At 40.8% G+C, this 19,783-nt stretch overlaps 1 protein-coding gene across 4 annotated transcripts in view, besides 5 other annotated features; it reads left to right on the top strand.

Moving 5' to 3' along the window:
• Nucleotides 1–19,783, top strand: part of EPHA4 (EPH receptor A4) — a 156,176-nt gene that overhangs the window by 46,486 nt on the left and 89,907 nt on the right. The gene's annotated exons all lie outside the window — the stretch shown is intronic.
• Nucleotides 101–601: an enhancer, noted in NCBI's record as "H3K4me1 hESC enhancer chr2:222391836-222392336 (GRCh37/hg19 assembly coordinates)". NCBI's record gives its function as "activates a minimal SCP1, AML or CMV promoter by ChIP-STARR-seq in naive H9 embryonic stem cells {active_cell/tissue: H9 hESC(naive)}" and the evidence as "EXISTENCE:reporter gene assay evidence [ECO:0000049][PMID:30033119]".
• Nucleotides 9,352–10,551: an enhancer, noted in NCBI's record as "P300/CBP strongly-dependent group 1 enhancer chr2:222381886-222383085 (GRCh37/hg19 assembly coordinates)". NCBI's record gives its function as "activates an origin of replication core promoter dependent on BRD2, BRD4, P300/CBP, MED14 and CDK7 cofactors, with strong dependence on P300/CBP, by STARR-seq in HCT116 cells {active_cell/tissue: HCT116}" and the evidence as "EXISTENCE:reporter gene assay evidence [ECO:0000049][PMID:35650434]".
• Nucleotides 9,377–9,876: an enhancer, noted in NCBI's record as "H3K4me1 hESC enhancer chr2:222382561-222383060 (GRCh37/hg19 assembly coordinates)". NCBI's record gives its function as "activates a minimal SCP1, AML or CMV promoter by ChIP-STARR-seq in naive H9 embryonic stem cells {active_cell/tissue: H9 hESC(naive)}" and the evidence as "EXISTENCE:reporter gene assay evidence [ECO:0000049][PMID:30033119]".
• Nucleotides 9,734–10,028: an enhancer, noted in NCBI's record as "tiled region #1377; K562 Activating non-DNase unmatched - State 24:Quies". NCBI's record gives its function as "activates a minimal TATA promoter and a strong SV40 promoter by Sharpr-MPRA in K562 cells {active_cell/tissue: K562}" and the evidence as "EXISTENCE:reporter gene assay evidence [ECO:0000049][PMID:27701403]".
• Nucleotides 9,877–10,378: an enhancer, noted in NCBI's record as "H3K4me1 hESC enhancer chr2:222382059-222382560 (GRCh37/hg19 assembly coordinates)". NCBI's record gives its function as "activates a minimal SCP1, AML or CMV promoter by ChIP-STARR-seq in naive H9 embryonic stem cells {active_cell/tissue: H9 hESC(naive)}" and the evidence as "EXISTENCE:reporter gene assay evidence [ECO:0000049][PMID:30033119]".

Genomic DNA, 19,783 nt, shown 5'->3' with positions numbered 1-19,783 from the left:
ATCTTCAGAACTGATCCAGGCCAATGTTATGTTGAATCCTTAAGAAGGATTTGAGAAGGTGGCCCTGAGGAAGCACAGACACACGCTCTTGCCCCATTGTCTGTAACTGCCCAGTGTCGGGCAGACCCCGGTGGACCTCCCCGGTTGCTGGGGCTGGGGCCTCCATACTCAGCTGTAAATGACCAGGTGACAATGAGAGTGGACTCTCAGTGGGCCTCACCACAGGAGCCTCTGTCATATGGGGCTGAATCATTGTCCTGTATCTGGAGATTGTGAAGGTCTGTCCAGGGCATCTTTTGAGGAACTGTATCTATTTCAGCTACCTCTTTAGTTTTCTATTTCTCTTTTTCTCTCCCCTTCTTCTTAATATTTTCTGATGAGAGACTCGGCAGGTGAATATGTGCACGTGGACATTAATCAGAGGCACTTGTCATTCTGAAGAGGCCTCAAGAGCCGAACAGGGTTATTAATAAGAATCCTCTAAACCAAGAGAACATGGAGCATGTTGAATTTATCCAATTTCCACAACGTTCTAGTTTATTCCTATGTTGTTGTAAGGACAAAGTAGTAGATTCAGATTCTTTTTTTTCCTTTAGACAGAGTCTCACTCTGTTGCCCAGGATGGAGTGCAGTGGCGCGATCTCGGCTCACTGCAAGCTCCGCCCGGGTTCACGCCATTCTCCTGCCTTAGCCTCCTGAGTAGCTGGGACTACAGGTGCCTACCACCACGCCCGGCTTAATTTTTTTTTTGTATTTTTAGTAGAGACGGGGGTAGATTCAGATTTTAATACTGCTCATTTTAAACGTGTTTGTGTGTCAATTTTTTTTTTTTTTTTTTTTTTTTTTTTTTTTTTTTTTTTTTTTGAGGCCGAGTCTGGCTATATTGCCCAGGCTGGAATGCAATGGCGCGATCTCGATCTCGGCCCACTGCAACCTCTGCCTCCCGGGTTCGAGCAATTCTCCTGCCTCAGCCTCCCGAGTAGCTGGGATTATAGGCCCTCGCCACTGCGCCTGGCTAATTTTTGTATTTCTAGTAGAGAGCGGGTTTCACCAAGTTGGCTAGGCTGGTCTGGAACTCCTGACCTCAAGAGACCCGCCCACCTCGGCCTCCCAAAGTGCTGGGATTACAGGCGTGAACCGCTGCACCCAGCCATGAATTTTTTTTTTTTTTTTTACACTAGATTGTGTTGTTTCCTGAGCACACAGGAGAAAGGTGGAGACCTTTGAGACGTGTATATCAGGCTCATGACCTTCGAGGGACACATGTATCCTGCCTGCAACCTTCGAGGCACACGTGTATTGTGGCTGTGACCTGGAATTACACTGCCTTACTTCAAATCCTGACACTGTCACTTATTAGCCAAATTTACTCAAGCAACTGCTTAACTGTATATGCCCCAGTTTCCGTAGCTTAAAATGGGGATAATGTGTTTCCTTATTCATAAGTGTCTTATATATTTAGTATGATTATGTATATAAAGTGCCGGAATTACACTGCCTTGCTTCAAATCCTGACACTGTCACTTATTAGCCATATTTACTCAAGCAACTGCTTAACTGTATATGCCCCAGTTTCCTTAGCTTAAAATGGGAATAATGTGTTTCCTTATTCATAAGAGTGTCTTATATATTTAGTATGATTATGTATATAAAGTGCTGAGCCATAATTCTTCAATAAATATTAGTTATAATTATTTTTGAAATGTGATAAACCTCAATTGGACTCCTGCTTTGGCTATGTAACCAGTTGGACCTTTGCTAAACCTCAATTTTTTTTATCTAGAAAATAAAATGGGAAACACAGTATCTAATAGAGAGTTATAAAAGAATTATACATTATTTCTATCACTCTGGAGACACAGTCCCTAAAAGTACTTGGTAGACCCTTTCCTATCCTCCCAGCTTCTTTTCTTGGCAACGTTTTATTTTTTTTCAGAGAATCTCAGTTCTTCCCTGTAAGGGATATAGGCTCCAACTTTGTTTCCTGGAGAGGACTCAGGTAGTGGTGTATTGAGTGCTGGTGCCAAGTACTTTGTGGGCAGTTTCTTATTATTATTCCTCACTTAATATCAACCCCATTTTGCTGAGGAAGCCACAGCTGAGAGTTAAGAGCCACATCTCGCCTGCTCTCTCAAGTGGCAGCAACATCATTCAATGTGTTTGTCTGACTGTCGAGCCTGTGTCTAACCACTGAGTCGTTCGTCCTCCATCAGATCAAACCTGGGAAAGGCGTGACAGTGAGCATCCTCACTGCCGGAACTAATGGCACGGAATCAAGGACATATCTCTCTCTCTTTCCCTCATCTTTTTTAACCGAAAGGAAATTTACGGAGCATATGGTAACTCGTTTTCCTCCACAGCTCTACTATCCAGACCACGAGTCAGAAAATTAACCTTTTAACTTAATCTACATGTTGTGCATTGAGTCTCACGCCTGTTTTCATCTGCCTAAATGGGGAGTTCCACGCAGCGTGATGGGTGTCCTCTCTGTGCTCACATTGCCGGGGACAGATGATTTGCAGCTGCTCTGTCCTGAGGCCATTGTGAACACTGAGGTCCCTGACAGGTTGGTCTAGTCTGCATCGTCAATTTTTATCACATTCTTTTATGAAATAGAAATTTCTATCATGGGCATGTAATTTGGTGAGCATTGCAAATAGTAAACTCTTTCAAAAGGCTATAAAATTACATATTTATAGATTTATAAAAATTGCCTCTTTTTTTCTCTCTCCAGCACTCCTTCCAGGTAAATAAGACAATAGGATACTTTTGAGAACTTAGGAGTTATAAAAATATAATTGTTACTTGGAAAACTTCATTTTAAATCTCTGAATTGGGAAACACATACCTTAAGTATGAGCATGTCCATTTTAATTCATGAGCAGTAGCCGTGCCGTAGCCATCACATCAAGCTTTTGGGTGCTAATAAGCATCAATTGTGTGGCAACTAATCCAGCTGGTGTTTAGTAATGTAAATGGAGACGTGAGATGTTTTTATATGTTGTATCTTCCCAGGTTAAGTCAAGCCGTTAAAGCATATTTGCACCTTATGTAGATGATTAAGCATTTGGTAAATTCTGAAAGGTCACTAAGTACAATGTACTTCCTTGTCTTCCCCAATTTGCCTTTTCATTTGACATAGGCTTTGTTAGGAAATTACAGCCGCTTTTCCCAGGTGACATTCATCCCCATGTAACACTGATTGTAAGTCTAACTAGGTGGGTTCTAATGACTTCTACTAAGATGTAACATGGACCAACCACTGCCTACATCCTCATTCTCATTCTCATTTCAGCAAAAAGTCCTGAAAAGATAGGCAAACACTGGAGGAACCATAGAGACGTGTCATTTACCACTTTCCCTCTTGACTGTATATAGGTGATTATGCTTTCTCAAGTTTCACTTGTTCTTTCTTTTACCCCGAAGCCTAGCATTAAAGGGTGCTCAGGCAGTACCTGATGGGTTGGATACTGGTGCTAAGAAGTGGAGTTAGCATCCGGCAGGAGAGGAGGCAGCACACGGACGTGGCTGGACATCTTTGCTCTGGAGTTTTCTCTTGGCATCTGACTTCTGCTCCGCTACTTCATGAACTTTGCATTGCCCTCTGCAAGTCCAGCATGATTTGGGTGCCTCAGTTTTCTCCATTGGAATATATGTCATTTTTTTCCTCTCCTTCAGAACGTTTCTCACCACAAGGCATTTTATATATATATTTGTTTTGCTTTGTTTGTTTCTTTCCACTCCCCTCTTTTTCCATCAATTTAACAAAAGGGGTTTGAATTTATCCCAGCACCTAGGACATACCAGGTGCTCAAAAAATATTCTACTGAGGGCCGGGCACGGTGGCTCATGCCTGTAATCCCAGCACTTTGGGAGGCTGTCATTTGAGTTCAGGAGTTTGAGACCAGCCTGACCAACATGATGAAACCTTGTCTCTCTTAAAAATGCAAAAAATATTAGCCAGGCATGGTGGCACACGTCTGTAATCTCAGCTACCCAGAAGGCTGAAGCAGGAGAATTTCTGGAACCTCAGAGATGGAGGTTGCAGTGAGCCGGGATCACACCACTGCACTCCAGCCTGGGTGACAGAGGGAGGCTCTGTCTCAAAAAAAGTTACTAAAAAATATTCTGGCCAGGCACGGTGGCTCATGCTTGTAATCTCAACAATTTGGGAGGCCGACATGGGCAGATCACCTGAGGTTGGGAGTTCAAGACCAGCCTGACCAACATGGAGAAACCCCATCTCTACTAAAAATACAAAATTAGCTGGGCGTGGTGGCACATGCTTGTAATCCCAGCTACTCGGGAGGCTGAGGCAGGAGAATTGCTTGAACTTGGGAGGCGGAGGTTGTGGTGAGCCGAGATCGTGCCATTGCACTCCAGCCTGGGCAACAAGAGGGAAACTGCGTCTCAAAAAAAAAAAATTATTGACTAAATATATTAGTTAGCCAATTAAAAATAGCCCCTACTTCTTAGCGTTGTTGGGGGTATCAAAGGAATTAATGAAAGTGCACATAGAGAGCCCCAGTAACTACTTGCTATTCTTATTACCCAACTGATCGCCAGTGTTCTCTTTTGTAAGTGAGGAAGGTATATTGGAAGTACTGGGGTTTTCAAATGCTGCATAAGGACAGACAGTTTAAAAAAATCTTTTGGCTGGGCGTGGTGGCTCACACCTGTAATCCCAGCACTTTGGGAGGCCGACGCAGGCGGATCACCTGAGGTCAGGAATTCGAGACCAATTCGAGACCAGCCTGGCGAACATGGTGAAACCCCGTCAAAAATTAGGTGGATGGTGGCACGCACCTGTAATCCCAGCTACTCATGAGGCTGAGGCAAAAGAATCACTTGAACCTGGGAGGCAGAGGTTGGGTTGCAGTGAGCCGAGATTGCACCACTGCACTCCAGCCTGGGCAACTGAGGGAGACTCCGTCTCAAAAAAATAATAATAATAATAATAATAATAATAATAATAATAATAGGATTTTATTTTTATTGTTGCCTTTGATTTATGGCAAGTTGCTTTTGACATATCAAGAACATAATTGAACTCTCAGAAGGTAAAACTCATAAAAATGAAGCATAAGTAAATGAAGTGTGGGAAACCTTGTTTGAAACACATTTTGGGGTGAGAGTGGGAATTTATTAGGTAAGCCAGTTCGGTTTCAGAGACACCAGTTTCACTTAGTGTTCAAATCCCTGTAATAATGAGTGGTGTCGTGTCAAGAATCTGTTACCGTATATCATTTATAGGTTGGTCATTGAACAGGTGTTTTTAGCTAAGTTTTGATTAATTGTGCCTTTATGCACTGGACCAATCCTACAGCTTAACTTCGTCTTTGTCACTTCCCTGTGCAGTTCTCAAAGAATTCAAACGTGTGATATTGACAATCCAAGACTCTTTTTCCAAGCCTCATTTTCCTTGATACCCTATCTGATGGCTGGAAATTCTGCTTTCTCTTGGGTTTCTTCATGCACCTTCCCCGTTCTTCAACGATGAATGTAGCATTATCTGTAACACTGGGCCTCAAATTTATCTGGTGCCTCACATGTATGGGCATAACTGGCAATGTCTATATCAAGGGAAAATGGTGAGAATTAAATGAGAATGCATATTTGAAGTGCCTGGCCTAGTCCCAGGCAGTGCTCAGTAAATGCTAGTTCCCTTTTGCTCTGTATTTCCGGCCTATTTTGGGTTTTTTGTTTATTTGTTTTTTTGTTTGTTTGTTTTTAATTTATTGAGATGGAGTCTTGCTCTGTCACCCAGGCTGGAATGCAGTGGCACAATCTTGGCTCACTGCAACGTCTGCCACCTGGGTTCAAGCGATTCTCATGCCTCAGCCTCCCGAGTAGCTGGGACTACAGGCGTGTGCCATCATGCCCACCTAATTTTTTTCTATTTTTGGTAGAGACTGGGCTTTGCCATGTTGGCCAGGCTGGTCTCAAACTCTTGATCTTAGGTGATCTGCCTGCCTCAGCCTCCCAAAACGCTGAGATTATAGGTGTGAGTCATTGCTCCTGGCTTTGTTTGTTTGTTTTGTTTTTTTAATTCCATATTCTCCAATTACCTCTGACATATGGTATTTACAAGGTTCTTCCTTAAACTTTTTCTGAATCTACAGTTCATGAACTCCTGTGACACTTACGCTTTTGGCAGATATTTTCCAAATCTCTGCCTCTAGTAGTGCTGACCTCCAGACCTGTCTCTCCAATTGCTTCCTGAACATCTCAACTCAAACATATCATGACCCACTAGCTGACCTCATGCCCTTCCTTTTGAAACTGACATGTCTTCCTGTCTTCCCTATTTTGGCTATAGCATCTCTACTGTCTCTGGCATTTGGTCTGGGAAACTTAAGTCCAGTTTCAATTCTACTTTTTAAAATATCCTGTAACATCTAAATGGAAATGAGATCCTCCCGTTGCACTGGTCTTAGATAGAGCTTTCTTCCTTTCCTTACTCAAGGGCAGGTTTGGAATGAAGTTGGATTCTAGAAGTTAGGCCAAGCAATAATTAGTTCATTGACATTCACAACAGTAGGTAATAGAGTCCGAGGGTTGAGAATAGGGAAGAATTCTTACAAGAATTATCCTTGGGTTAACACTATATGGTCCAAGCCTTGTTGTGTATGAAATAATCAGAATTTCATAATTTCTGTTTCTTCAAAAAGTAGTTTTAAATGTTGTTTTCTAAAAAGCGTCAAAGGGGGCGCAATATAACAAAACATAAGTTATAGCCAATTTCAAATGCATGCAGATCCTACCATGGTTAACAAAATGCAAATATATTTTAAAGACTTATTGAATGTGTAGTAGCCTTTTGTCATTCTATACTTTTTCTAAAAATTCATGCTAAAAGTGCAACTGGCAGAGGAGTTTCATGAAACTCTTACGATGTTACCTTATGAAATATGAATTTCAAGAATGATTGATGATTTTCATTTGTTCAGCGTCACCAGCTCATAGAAAACAAAATCAGAGATTACATGAATTTTCAAAAATAGGATGTGGGGGAAGAGAAAGTAAAATTGAAAGTCTCTAAACACTTGGCTACTCAGTTTAAAACTTCTGCTTCCTAAAGATACATCTATTATATTTAAGATAAGATAATAGGCACTGTCTGTGTTTCTCTCTCTCTCTCTCTCCCCCCTCTTGCTCTCTCTCTCTCTCTCTGTGTGTGTGTGTGTGTGTGTGTGTGTGTGTGTGTGTGGTTAGAGGAAATAAGTCTTACACTCTGGGTCTACCAGTTGCCTACTGGATAATAAAGTAAATAAATATATGTTCAAAGACACATATATGTGTTTGTATACAGAAGTGCTGTGTATACAGAAAACATTTGAATTCTGATTCCCCAGTGTAGCAATGCTTGATAGAAAAGGTACTGGCTGATTTTAGGCTGTGAAGAGAAGATAAAATTTCATTATTTGTAGGTGATGGGAAGTGTTTAAAGAACAATCCAAGTGAGAACAACTGGTACTCTGTCTGGTTTGATTGAAGTGCAGGATGTTTGAGGGACAAATTGGGGCTGGCTATGAGAGGCTTTGAGCTTCTCTGTTCTTCTGGTTGAATCCTGTGGTATATACAGTGGGGATCATTGAGAGATTTTCAATACAGGAATGACATGATCAGCATGAACATCATACTTTTTAAAAATTACACAAAATGGGTGTTTAAAAGTTAATTTTAAATTTTGATAATGGTCAGTAAACGAAATGGGAGAGGAAGCAAAAGAGAAAAGAAGAGACACCGAGAAACTACAGAGGAAATAAAGAGGTCTCAGTCCAGAGGGAGAGAAAGGGCGAGGCTAGGACTCTAGGTTGCATTGGAGGTAAACTGCTTTTGTTTATTTGGGCTGTGAGTATAGAATGCTTCTTTGCCTTGCATTTGAAAGGCTGATTTGGTTATTCTACCACTATGTACAGGCCTTTTTAATGTTCTTTGTTTCTAAACCCTGAGTAGCTCCCTTGCTAGGGGATAGTAACTTGTAGGGCTGACTTTGAGTGGCAGAGGCAGAAACATTAATATCATCCATGAGCAGAGTCTCCCAGGTAGCATGTCCTTACATTAGGTTGGTTGTTGCAAAGGTAATTGCGGTTTTTGCCATTGAAAGTAATGGCAAAGATCGCAATGACTTTTGTACCAACCTAATAACTGGAGCAGAGGAAAAGAAGTTCTGTTGGATTCGTCTGAAGAGCTGAAGGAAAGGAACTGGGTTTTCTCACTGTTAATTGCCCCTTTCTCATCTCAACCTGGCTCCTTTCCTCAGATTCTTGCTTTGGAATCACCATCTGTTTTCCACTCCACAGAGCTTTGGGAGGAATGTCAGCTCTGTTGTCTCCGACTTAAGGTCCAAATGCCCCTTTTCAGAAACTGTCCATCATTTAAAGTTCGACGAGAAAACTTGGACTTGCTTTGTGGCCATAAGACCCTATATTTTCAGATTTCCTATAGACGATGTTTTGTTATATCCTGCTTTAAAAAAAAAGTGTTTAAAACTACATTTATAGCCACCCTAGCTGTTGCACTGCACTGTTTTTTGGTTAAAACATGCACCTGCTTTGTTAGTAAAGGAACCTTTGCCAAGTGAATTGTATGTGGGAGGGTGTGACTAACTCTGCAAAGGGACTTATCTCTTATCCTATCTGCCTGAGCTCCCAAGGCTGCCTTTGATAAGATTTATTTCTTCTTGCACCAGCCCCACCCCTCCAACCTTTACTGCTATCTTTCCTCTGAAAATTATTCATATCTAAATATTTTAACTTTTCAAAACTACTCTGCTCTCTGGTTTCATATTTTGTTGAGTGATCTAACCCTTCCTCTGGGAGACAAGTGCTCCCAAGCAAGAGAGCATTACAATTCTGCCTCCCCTGCTCCTCCCACCTTTTAAGTATTATCAGCAGACCTGCTTGCTTACCCGTGTTAGGATTGTGCTGTTTCCTTTTTGGCAAGCTTCAGCCAAGCCCATAATGTTGCAAGGCTGTTTGAAGGGAAATGTAAGTCACAATGGCAAGAAACATAGAAACAGAAAACATAGGAACAGAAAAAGAAAAGTAAATCTGAAATGATCTTCGTACAGCTTGGTTCACAGCAAGGAGTGGTCTGAGTTGCTTTCTGTGTCTAGACATTTAGATGCTAAAGGCAACTGTGTCATCATTCATTCATTCATTCGTATACTTAGTCTACATATTTGTGGTGAGTAGCCATCGTTACAGGTTACAGGTTACCAAATGTTAGAGATGTAATAGTAAACAGGATGGGCGTATTTGCAGCTGCTATGGATCTGAGAGTGTGTTCTGCAAAGGGTGATAGACATGAAACCTCAAAACACACAGTTCATGACTGGATTACAGTTGTGCAGCAGGAGCGGGTAAAGAGCGGGGTCTAGGGAAGAGAGATTTCCTAACCTAGACTACAGGCATCAGGAGAGGATTCTTGTTTCTTACAAGCTGGAGGTGAGGACCATTTTGCATTGGAGGATAAGGACTGAGCTCTTAACCACAGAAGCCATGGAGTGGGGAGGGGGAAGCATGAACAGTTTCAGATCTGAATAAATCCACTCAATTTCTCAGTTTTCCTGAAAACCAGCTACCTATTTTCTGCCTCCCAATTAGATGAAATTCTGTTCTGGGAGGAAACAGGAAAGTAAAGACCTCAGTTGTAAAACAACACTGCGCTGCCCACACCAGCAGCTACCTAATGTCAACCTGAAACCTCATAACTCACTTACTTCAATGGCTGTTGACAAACTCTTGTCAGCTGCACCCTTAGTTCCGGTTTGAATCACGCTCAGGAAGCTGGCCCCTCGGCTGGCTTCCTCAAGTTAGTGGGTGCTGTCATGCAGCTGCTATCAAGGTGTGGCCCACTTGCAAGTGGTCAGGACCCAGGGCCTGGTGGCCAAGCCTCATCAAAGCTGTTGTGATAGCACATGCGGGTGGCATTCTTGAGCTGGGAAGTGGTGTCCCAGTCTGCTTAAGTAGATGCAGACATGACTCATTTGGAAGGATACAGCCAAGGGGAAAATCAAAATTTGCTTTGTATGTCACTTGTTTGGAATCTTAAGTCCACTTAAAAAAAAAAAATGCCCTGCAACTGTGAGGAAGAGCAGAGTTAGTCCTTTATGTCACTTACTTGGAACTCTCGACTCCCGGCTCGCCCTCCTCCACCCTGGTCCAGGTGGCCATGCCCTCTCTGCTGGATCTCAAGGGCCTCCTTACAGGTCCCCTGCTTCTAATCATACTTCCTGTCATCCACGTTCTACCAGCAGCCAAATGAATCTTTTGACAATTTGTATCAAATCATATTGCCAGACTGAGAATAAAAACTAAACTCCTCACTGAGTTAAGGGCCTGTGGGCTCAGGATGACCACTCTGATCTCAATCTTGGCATGCCTCTTGCAACATTTCCTAGCATCAGTAATCTTCTGTCTGTCTAATACATGCCTACTGTAGGCCTTCTGCAACTTTCTCTTCTTCCTGGCATGCTTTCCCATGTAATGTTCACAATTGCTGGCCCTTTATTAATTGAGATCCCCTATGAACCACCTTCCCAGCCCCATCCTCAGTCTCTCATATTACCAGGTTTATTCTCCTGTACAGTTCTATCCCTGCCAGTAGAATATGTGCTCTGTGGAAACACAGGCCGTGCCAGTCATCCCTTCCCTATGTCAGGCACACGTAGGAGCGCTCAGCAATACATGTGGATGAATGAACCTTCACACCATAGAGCAAAGACATTTGTTTCCCTCTTTTTTCTGATCTGATTTTTAATAAGTGACAAAAAGAGCACAGGAGTGCTTGGGAATCTCTGCTAAGACAGGTAAGAGAAATTTCAATAAACAGTTTGGAGGGGTGGATTTATTTGGGGAAAAAAAAGGACCTTGCTCACAGTCCTAGGGCTGAGAAAGTGTTGGAGCTCAGTTCCTGAGCTCCATAAATGAGTCTGCACCAGTCCTGGAAGGAAAGATAAACGTGCTGGACTAATGTGCTCAATGGCATTTGAACTGAATTGTAAGTGACTTTGGGGTTTATCAGAGCATCCTAGGTTATTTGAGAATCACTGAATCTAGGTCGGGCATGGTGGCTCACCCCTGTGATCCCAGCACTTTGGGCCGAGGCGGGCCGATCACCTGAGGTCAGGAGTTCAAGACCAGCCTGACCAACATGGTAAAACCCCATTTCTACTAAAAATACAAATATTAACCAGGGGTCGCGGCGGACGCCTCTAATCCCAGCTACTTGGGAGGCAGAGGCAAGAGAATCACTTGAACCTGAGAGGCGGAGGTTGCAGTGAGCCGAGATCGTGCCTCTGCACTCCAGCCTACAGGACAGAGCAAGACTGCGTCTCAAAAAAAAAAAAAAAAAAAATCATTGAATCTATCAGATCATGGGAACCGTATAGACTTGGAATTTTTGAGGATTAAAAAGAGATATTTTAAATTATTTAGTCTGGTACTCTTAGAGGAAACTGACCCCTAGAAACCTTAAATTGTTAAATGTTAGGAATGGAATCCAGGTCCCCTTTTCACAGAGCCTGGCCTCTTCTCAGTCATTGTATTTCAGCCATTCACTTCCTCCACTTCTACATAGCAGGGAACGGATTCCTGGTTGTGTTTTTGACAGGAGAAATGTAACCTTAACACAGCCTTGAGGAAAACATGAAGGTGATCATCCATCTGCCAAAATTTTTAATGCTATGTTTTGTTTTTCTTTCTTTTCCTGGGGGAAGGATTTATGACTTCATCTTTTTTTTTTTTTTTCCCTTCAAATCTGAGCCTCTTTAGAAATGATCCTGCCTCAAGGCTAGGGGGAAAAAATCCTATTTTAAAAAATAAAATGTAGATCTTCTTATGGTCTGCTTTCCAGACACAAAAGAGATCTATGTCTTTTATTATTATTATTTTTGAGACAGGGTCTTGCTCCGTTGCCCAGGCTGAGTGCAGTGGCACAATCACGGCTCACTGAGGCCTTGACCTCCTGGGCTCAAAGGATCCTCCCACCTCAGCCTCCCCAGTAGCTGGGACTACAGGTGCATGCCACTATGCCCAGCTAATTTTTAAAAACTTCTCGTAGAGACAGAGTCTCACTATGTTGCCCAGGCTGGTCTCAAACTGCTGGATGTAAGCAGTGTTCCTGTCTTAGCCTCCCAAAGTGCTGGGATTACAGGCATGGTAAGCCACCCACCGTGTGTGATGTGGCCAGGATCTAATTTTGATTGTTGATTAAGAGTACTTTTTAAGTAATTTTCAACTGTTTTGTGATATATGAAAAAGAAGACTAATTAATAATGAGATATCAAATAATGTTTCTTAAATTGAGGTAGCTTGGCTGGCCGTGGTGGCTCATGCCTGTAATTCCAGCTCTTTGGGAGGTCGAGGTGGGAAGATCACCTGAGGTTGGGAGTTCGAGACCAGCCTGACCAACATGGAGAAACCCCGTCTCTACTAAAAATACAAAATTAGCCATGCATGGTGGCGCATGCCTGTAGTCCCAGCTACTTGGGAGGCTGAGGGAGGAGAATCGCTTGAACCCAGGAGGCAGAGGTTGCAGTGAGCCAAGATCGTGCCATTGTACTCCAGCCTGGCCAACAAGAGCAAAACTTCGTCTCAAACAAACAAACAAAAATTGAGGTAGCATCTTGTAAATAGAATCCTAGAAAAGGTTTTCAACTTCCCATGCCTTTTATAGTCATTTTTGAATGTTGGTCTAGAGATCTGCTTGGGATGAGTAAGATTTTTTTGTACATCTGAGATAAATTTAGGTTGTTAGTGACATGCTGTTCTTTTGTATTTGATAATAAGCCTGATCTGTTTCTCTTGCTTTCTTTAAATGGGTCAGTTCTGGCTTCCAGCTCATCCATGTTTTACAAAGAACAGTTGTTCCACTTTTTCTTCTCTCATGACCAAACACTTTGGGAGCATGTCAACATCATGGTCTTGTTTTTATTATGATTAATATCAATTTTTCACCCATCGTTTGTGTTTAATATTTGGGATGAGAAACGGACAAACAAATGAGCAGATTCTGACTTGGTATTTCTCCTGCATGCCATTTGTGATTTATAATTTATACATGGAAGGATTTACTGACCTACCTGATAGTCCCTCCCAACAAAGATAAACACACTTACACGTCATCAGGGTAAGTAAGATGCACTTGAAAGGGACAAATAATTCACCTGCAAGCACTTTTGGCTTCATGCCTTTTCCCATGAATTTGAACTGTTGACAGAGAATGCTCAGGCTGCCAAAACACTTCCCACAGAACCTCCCAAAATCCCCGAGGTTGGGACCAGCTCCACTTGCCATGCTGTGAGAAGGACTAAACACTAACCTTTTGTGCCCTACAAGAGTGCATCACACGAAAGCAAGAAAATGGTCCACTTCCTTTGGGATTCAGGTCTGGGGATGTGCTGCTCTCCTCTGTTCCCTTTTGTGGATGTGGTCCTATGAAAGGCTCACCTGTAAGGCTGGACAAACTGCCAAGTCGTCCTTGTCAAACTGGGTGCAGAGGACCTTCCACTGTCACACTGTGTATTTCGGCTGCCGATTCAAACCGATTTCTTGGGACAATGACCCATCAAGCTGAAGAGTTCAAAATGCATTAAGTAGATTTTCAAACCCCCTCCCCCCGGCTTACAGGAGTATAACTGAGTCCGTGGGAAAGGGTGGGTTGTTGCCAGCACCCTTTTGTACTTTTAAGAGGAAGATCATCGTCTGTTATCCCAAGCTTTTGGGGCTCTCATCTTTGCTACCATCCCTGGGACTTCTCTGTACTGTACCAAAAACAGACAGTGCAAATTCTCCATAAATTTCACTTAGTCTAGACTAGGTCTCTTCAGGGAGCTCCTTGAGAATTTTTATTTTGTGCTCCTCAGACATAAGCAATGTTGAAAGAGTCAAACACATATGATATTAAATGCTGGCAGAAAGTTGTGTAAAATCATTAGTCCACTACATGCAATACCAAAAATAGATGTTTAACCTGATCGTATCTGTTAAATATAAAACACTTTTTAAAAATCTTGTGTGCTCAAAAACTTTCAGAAAATTTTTAATATATACACTCATTTTTTTTAAAGGTGACCCATCAGAGGAGCCAGGATTAAAAACCTCAGCAGAGAATCGTAATACGTTGCTAATAACTGTAGCATTGGGGAATTCAGTCTTTTAAAGGTTCTGCTTCTTGTGTGTGTGATTCTCAGGCCCCATCAACATAACAAAAAAGAAGAGGTGCACTGAGCACTTATTACTGCAGTCATTTCAGCTGCATAAATCATGATTCCTGACAACTCAGGCTGTAAAGTCGTTTGGATGACAATGACTAGCAATGCTGCTGCCGGAGTTAATCAAATAATTATTTAACATGTGTTTCTCTTGGTCTGGCCCTGGCTTCAGAACATATTTCATTCGTTCCCAGGCCTCTGTAGTGCCTTTACTTTTAAATAAATGGAGGAGCTGAGCAAGTGTAAGATATGCATAAAGTTAATGACAGAATCACTTATGTCTCCTATTGGACTGTGCTCTCCCTCAAAAGAGGATTCTTGTCTAAATTAGTTTGGGTGATACCCACAGTACCCACCTCAGTGTTTTGTTCCAGGCTAGCAGTCACTATTATTTTAGCTTCTTCTGGGTGAAGCCAGCTTCCTGGTTAAACTCTTTTTCTCCAGGTGATACTCAGGGGGCACCTTTTCTTTCGGGTGGTTTTTCTATTCCATTACCTCTGCAAGCAGACAGCCTGGGTTAGGTGCATGGGTGAGGTCCCCAGGAAAGTCTCAAAGCACCTCTGCCAGAGATCACTCCTTAAAATGTGAGAGGAAGCAGTGGTCTGCTTCCTTCCTGAAGGGAACAGCCTCATATTCCCAGCCTTTTAGCTCTTAGTATGTGCTCAATAAATAGTTGCTCTCATTATTGCCATTACTGTTATTATGTAAAGGCTTAATAAATGTTTGCTAAAACATAAATGGCCCAATGAATGAATAAATGCACATACCTAATAAGGGATGAAATTTCTACATAATGACGCTAATCTGCATAGACCCGTGTATTAAATTCAGACGGGCTAGTGTGAGGAGAGGAAGAAGAAAAGAACAGCTGCTTCCTTTATTCAGTGCCCTGACCTGTTATCTGTAATCAGGGGATGTATAATGAGCCACTCATCTTTATGTACCCCAAATATCAAAGGGTGAAGAAAACAATAGCAACTCATCAAAAAGCTTGATCCTCTGTGAAATGTCCTGGGCAATCAAGTTAGGTGTTAGTGTCTCCTGATTTGCATTTCATGGCTGCGATGTGCTAGCGGTGGTGAGGATTGATAGTTTATATGGCAGCACTTATTTAAATCTTTCAAAAGTATTTTCAGATATTTTCAGTAATTTTAATTCAAATTAATGGCAGGGGTTTTCTTACAAAATATGATTACTTACTTTCTACATTTAGTTCATCTAAAATATACGCTTTTCTTGATTTTTTCTTACATGGTGGTCATTTTAATTTTTAGCATCCATTTGTTTCTATTCCTAATATAAACTTCAGCATATTAGGCAAACAAGTTTACTTGGCTTTTGTGACTTAAAAATATTATTATAGAGTCATTCAATTAAGTTCTGCTTAATCTACTTGAATTTATATCTCCAATAGAATTAATTTATTGAAAATCAAATTAATATTTCTTTAATCTCAAAATTTACTAAAGTCATAATCATTTTTATTTCAGGCATGAGGGGAAAAAAAGGAAAATACCCTAAAAATTTGTAGAGCCCTAGGTATTAGTTTGTTTCCTTCAGCTGTTTTATAAGGCAATATTGAAAACCATATTTTGTTTTTCAGATAGCAAATTTTCAGTGCTCTAATGGAAGAATTAGAACAAAGGTTAGAATAAGAATAAGGGATCTTTAAGGAAATAACATGTTTTTTAAAAAAGGAATTATTGTGATTATAGGTTGCTGTACTGCCTTCTATTTTTAAATTGTCATCTCTTATCAAATTGAAATAACATATTTGTTTGTTTCTAACAATGCTCTATTGTGATTAATCAAAAATTCCTATTAGCAACTTCAGCCAAATTAAATTTAAAGGAGCTTAATTGAGCAATGAATGATATGTGAATTGGCAGCCCCCAGAATCACAGCAGATTCAGACAGACTCCCGCAGACATGTGGTGGAAGAAGATTTATAGACAAAAAAGGGAAGTGACATACAGAAATCGGAAGTGAGGTACAGAAATCGGAAGTGAGGTACAGAAATCGGAAGTGAGGTACAGAAACAGCTGGATTGGTTACAGGTTGGTGTTTGCCTTATTTGAACACAGTTTGAACAGTTAGCAGTGTATGAGAGGTTGAAGCATGGCTGCCGGGATTGGCCAAGACTCAGCCATTGTTATAGGTGCATACTCCTAAATTAGATTGTCAATTTTGTCTACCTACTAAGTTAGGTTACAGTTCTCCCACAAGGACTCAAATATAGAAGTACAGAGTCGTTCTGAGGCCGTTTTTAGTTCACTTTAACAGGGAAAACTGCAATGATCAAACTAAGTAAAAGTTTCTAAGAGTATTTTTATCAAACCTGGCAGCAACATCTACACTTTAAAACAGAATGCATTATGTTTTTTTCCAAAAATACAGAAGCCTATCACTTGTCTTACCAGTTACTTCCATGGAAATTTGGTGGCCTCATTGCTTTTGTATGGAGCCCTGATGAGAGAGAACCCCAGGATTATCAACTAGAGATTGGAGCTAGCAATCTTTATTCCCATTCCCTTTATACATATATGAAGCAGAGCTGTTTTTAAGTAGAGTTTATGACAGTGGAAGTTACTCTTCAGAGAAGTAAATTAGAGAGTTTAGTTGAATGTGTTTAGTTTACTTACTTTGGAACTTTTACTGTTTAAGCTTACTCCTTCCAAACTCACCAAAGAGAAATAGCTCCTCAAATAATCAGATGATCTGTTCTAAAGGCAAGAAGGGAAAATAATAAGTCATCTCCCCCACTGCATTCTTTTTGTTTGTGTTTAATATTTTTTATAGAGTTAATTTAGATTTAGCAGGCTTTATGTAAAGTTTCTTCTGGAAGATTTAGTGAATCTTTTGTGAAAACCATCTTCATCTGACATTTTAGAATTACTCACCTATTTATGGGATTATACTGCATTCTGTTCTTGAAAGAGCAAATCCATTTTCAGCATAGTTTTTTTCTGTCACTTTTTTTCGTTGTCTGTTTTTCTGAAAACTACCTCCAAGGTAAGAGGGGAAAAATGGGAGGAGATGGAACGTAGAAAATAGGATAGAACTGTGTCTTGCCAGAGGAGATGATCTGAATTAGAAACTATTGGTTGAAGGAAGAAACCTCCAAAGCCAATACAATAATTTATTTAACTTTAGGAATGGTGTTTAAATTGTCTAAATAAAAATAAATTTTTACATACTTCCAATCTTGTCTATAGTTACTAAACTGCAGATGCTATGAGTTAGACTTCAATCTTGGGTTTTCTACCCCATGTTAATAACAGAAGAAATAAAAACAATAATGAAGAAGTTATCCCATAGTGTTTTAGAAATTATATCCAATCTTATTTTAAAACAAAACAAAAAACTTGAAGTTTTATGAAAATCCATTGGTCATTTCCATCTTCCCCTCTTGCAGCCATGCACTGTGCTATAGGAATAATGAGTTACTCTTAGTGAGTAGCTTATACACAGAACACACTGTCTTTTATCCTCCTGTGTATTATCTCATTTCATCATCATTTCAGCCCTACAGATGAAAAAATTGAAGTTCAGAGTAGTTACATAGTTTGTTCAAGTTCACACATCTAATAAGGGGCAGAGCTAAAAACCAAGTTCAGGCCTTTCCCGTTATGTCTCCCACTGCCCTTGCTATCAATTATTCTGCAGGGCAAAAAGAGACCACCAGACAGTGAATATGAATGTCAGACAGAAAATCACCTTTGATTTGTTTGTAGTTTATTTTTTGCTTTTGTCATTCTTTACTTACATTCTTGCTGTTGTTGTCTGTGAAACATCTCTGTCCTAAATATTTTAACCTTTCTAAATGGATGTCTGGTATATTCCTTTATACACTTGATTAAGGTAACCAAAATTAAATATTTCAATTTTATTTCAACATTTACATATCTACTATCTCCCCTACAGCCATTTTAAAATAATATTCTAAAGCAACCAAAGACCAGGATTAGGTCAGAGCCAAGCAACTCAGTACATCTTTTCTGAATTCTCAGAGGTTTACTAGAGAAAGTAGAACTTTGTATGAATGAAATAAACTTGAATTTCTGGTGATGCAATCATGTTTTGGAGTTTAGTCTCCTCAGAGTGCACAAAAAAATCTCGAAATAACTAAGTTTAAGTTTTTAGTAATTGTTGTTGTTGTGGTTTTTTGAGGCAGAGTTTTGCTCTTGTTGCCCAGGCTGGAGTGCAATGGCACGATCTCGGCTCACTGCAACCTCCGCCTCCCGGGTTCAAGTGATTCTCCTACCTCAGCCTCCTGAATAGCTGGGATTACAGGCAGGGGCCACCACGCCTGGCTAATTTTGTATTTTTAGTAAAGACAGGTTTTCTCCATGTTGGTCAGGCTGGTCTCAAACTCCTGACCTAAGGTAATCAGTCCACCTAGGCCTCCCAAAGTGGTGGGATTACAGGTGTGAGCCACTGGGCCCAGCCTTAATTCTTTAGTAATTTTTAACAACAATCAGGTTGTACTATTCTGATTTTACTATCCAGAAAACAGAAGAGTATCAAATAAACAAATACTTGAAATAAAATAAGTAAGAATTAACTGTGTTATTTAATACTTGTGAAACAGTATCAAAAAACAACAATGATCAGTTCACAATATTGATGTGAGAGGATAACTACTTACTTGAGACAGTATTAGTTTGGTAAGTTTCCTTTGAATTTCATGGTGTAATTTTTAGCATAACAGAGTTCTGTGTGAGAGCTTCATCTCTTTTCCTTTCTCTTTGGCAGCTACCCATTTCTATAAGGATATTTCACTCCAGGCTCTGTCCCATAATTTGGGGGGCAATACAGGGCACATTCATACTGGTTTGAGAAATAATTTAAATTTTATATTTCAAACATGTCAGATTTCTTTTCTTTCTTACTCTTTTTTTTTTTTTTTCCTGTTTTGAGACAGAGTCTCACTCTGTTGCCCAGGCTGGAGTGCAGTGGCATGATCTTGGCTCCCTGCAACCTCAGTCTCCCGGGTTCAAGTGATTCTCCTGCCTCAGCCTCCAGAATAGCTGGAACTACAGGCATGCACAATGCCTCCTGGCTAATTTTTGTATTTTTCAGCAGAGACAGGGTTCACCATGTTGGAGAGGCTGGTCTCAAGCTTCTGACCTCAGGTGATCAGTCTGCCTTGACCTCCCAAAGTGCTGGGATTACAGGCGTGAGCCACCACGCCCGGCCTCAAACATGTCAGATTTCTGGCATGCCCTCTCCCCACTCCAAAATGAATTCCAAAACCAATTATTCTTCTCCTGATAATGATTTGTCCCTTTAGCATCCGGGTATTAGAGAAAGGATGAGGTGGTTTGAACCTATTTAAGATGAACTGCATTGTTAAGAGTTTACTTAGACACGGGTCTATTTACAGTTAAGCAGTGGTTCTCAAAACATGTCCCTGGACCAGCAATGTTGTCATCGGGTCCAGGGACACATTTTGCCTGGGAGTATATAAGAAATGCAAATTCTCAGGACTCACCAGACCATCATAAACTAGGAGTGAGGACCAGCAATTGGTCTTTTAACAAGTCCTTTGTTAAGGTCATT

The sequence above is a fragment of the Homo sapiens genome, chromosome 2 (assembly GCF_000001405.40).
Source record: "Homo sapiens chromosome 2, GRCh38.p14 Primary Assembly".
In the NCBI taxonomy this organism is placed as follows: domain Eukaryota; kingdom Metazoa; phylum Chordata; class Mammalia; order Primates; family Hominidae; genus Homo; species Homo sapiens.
Note: the sequence above shows the minus strand (reverse complement) of the source record. Positions and strands in the feature narration are given on the sequence as shown.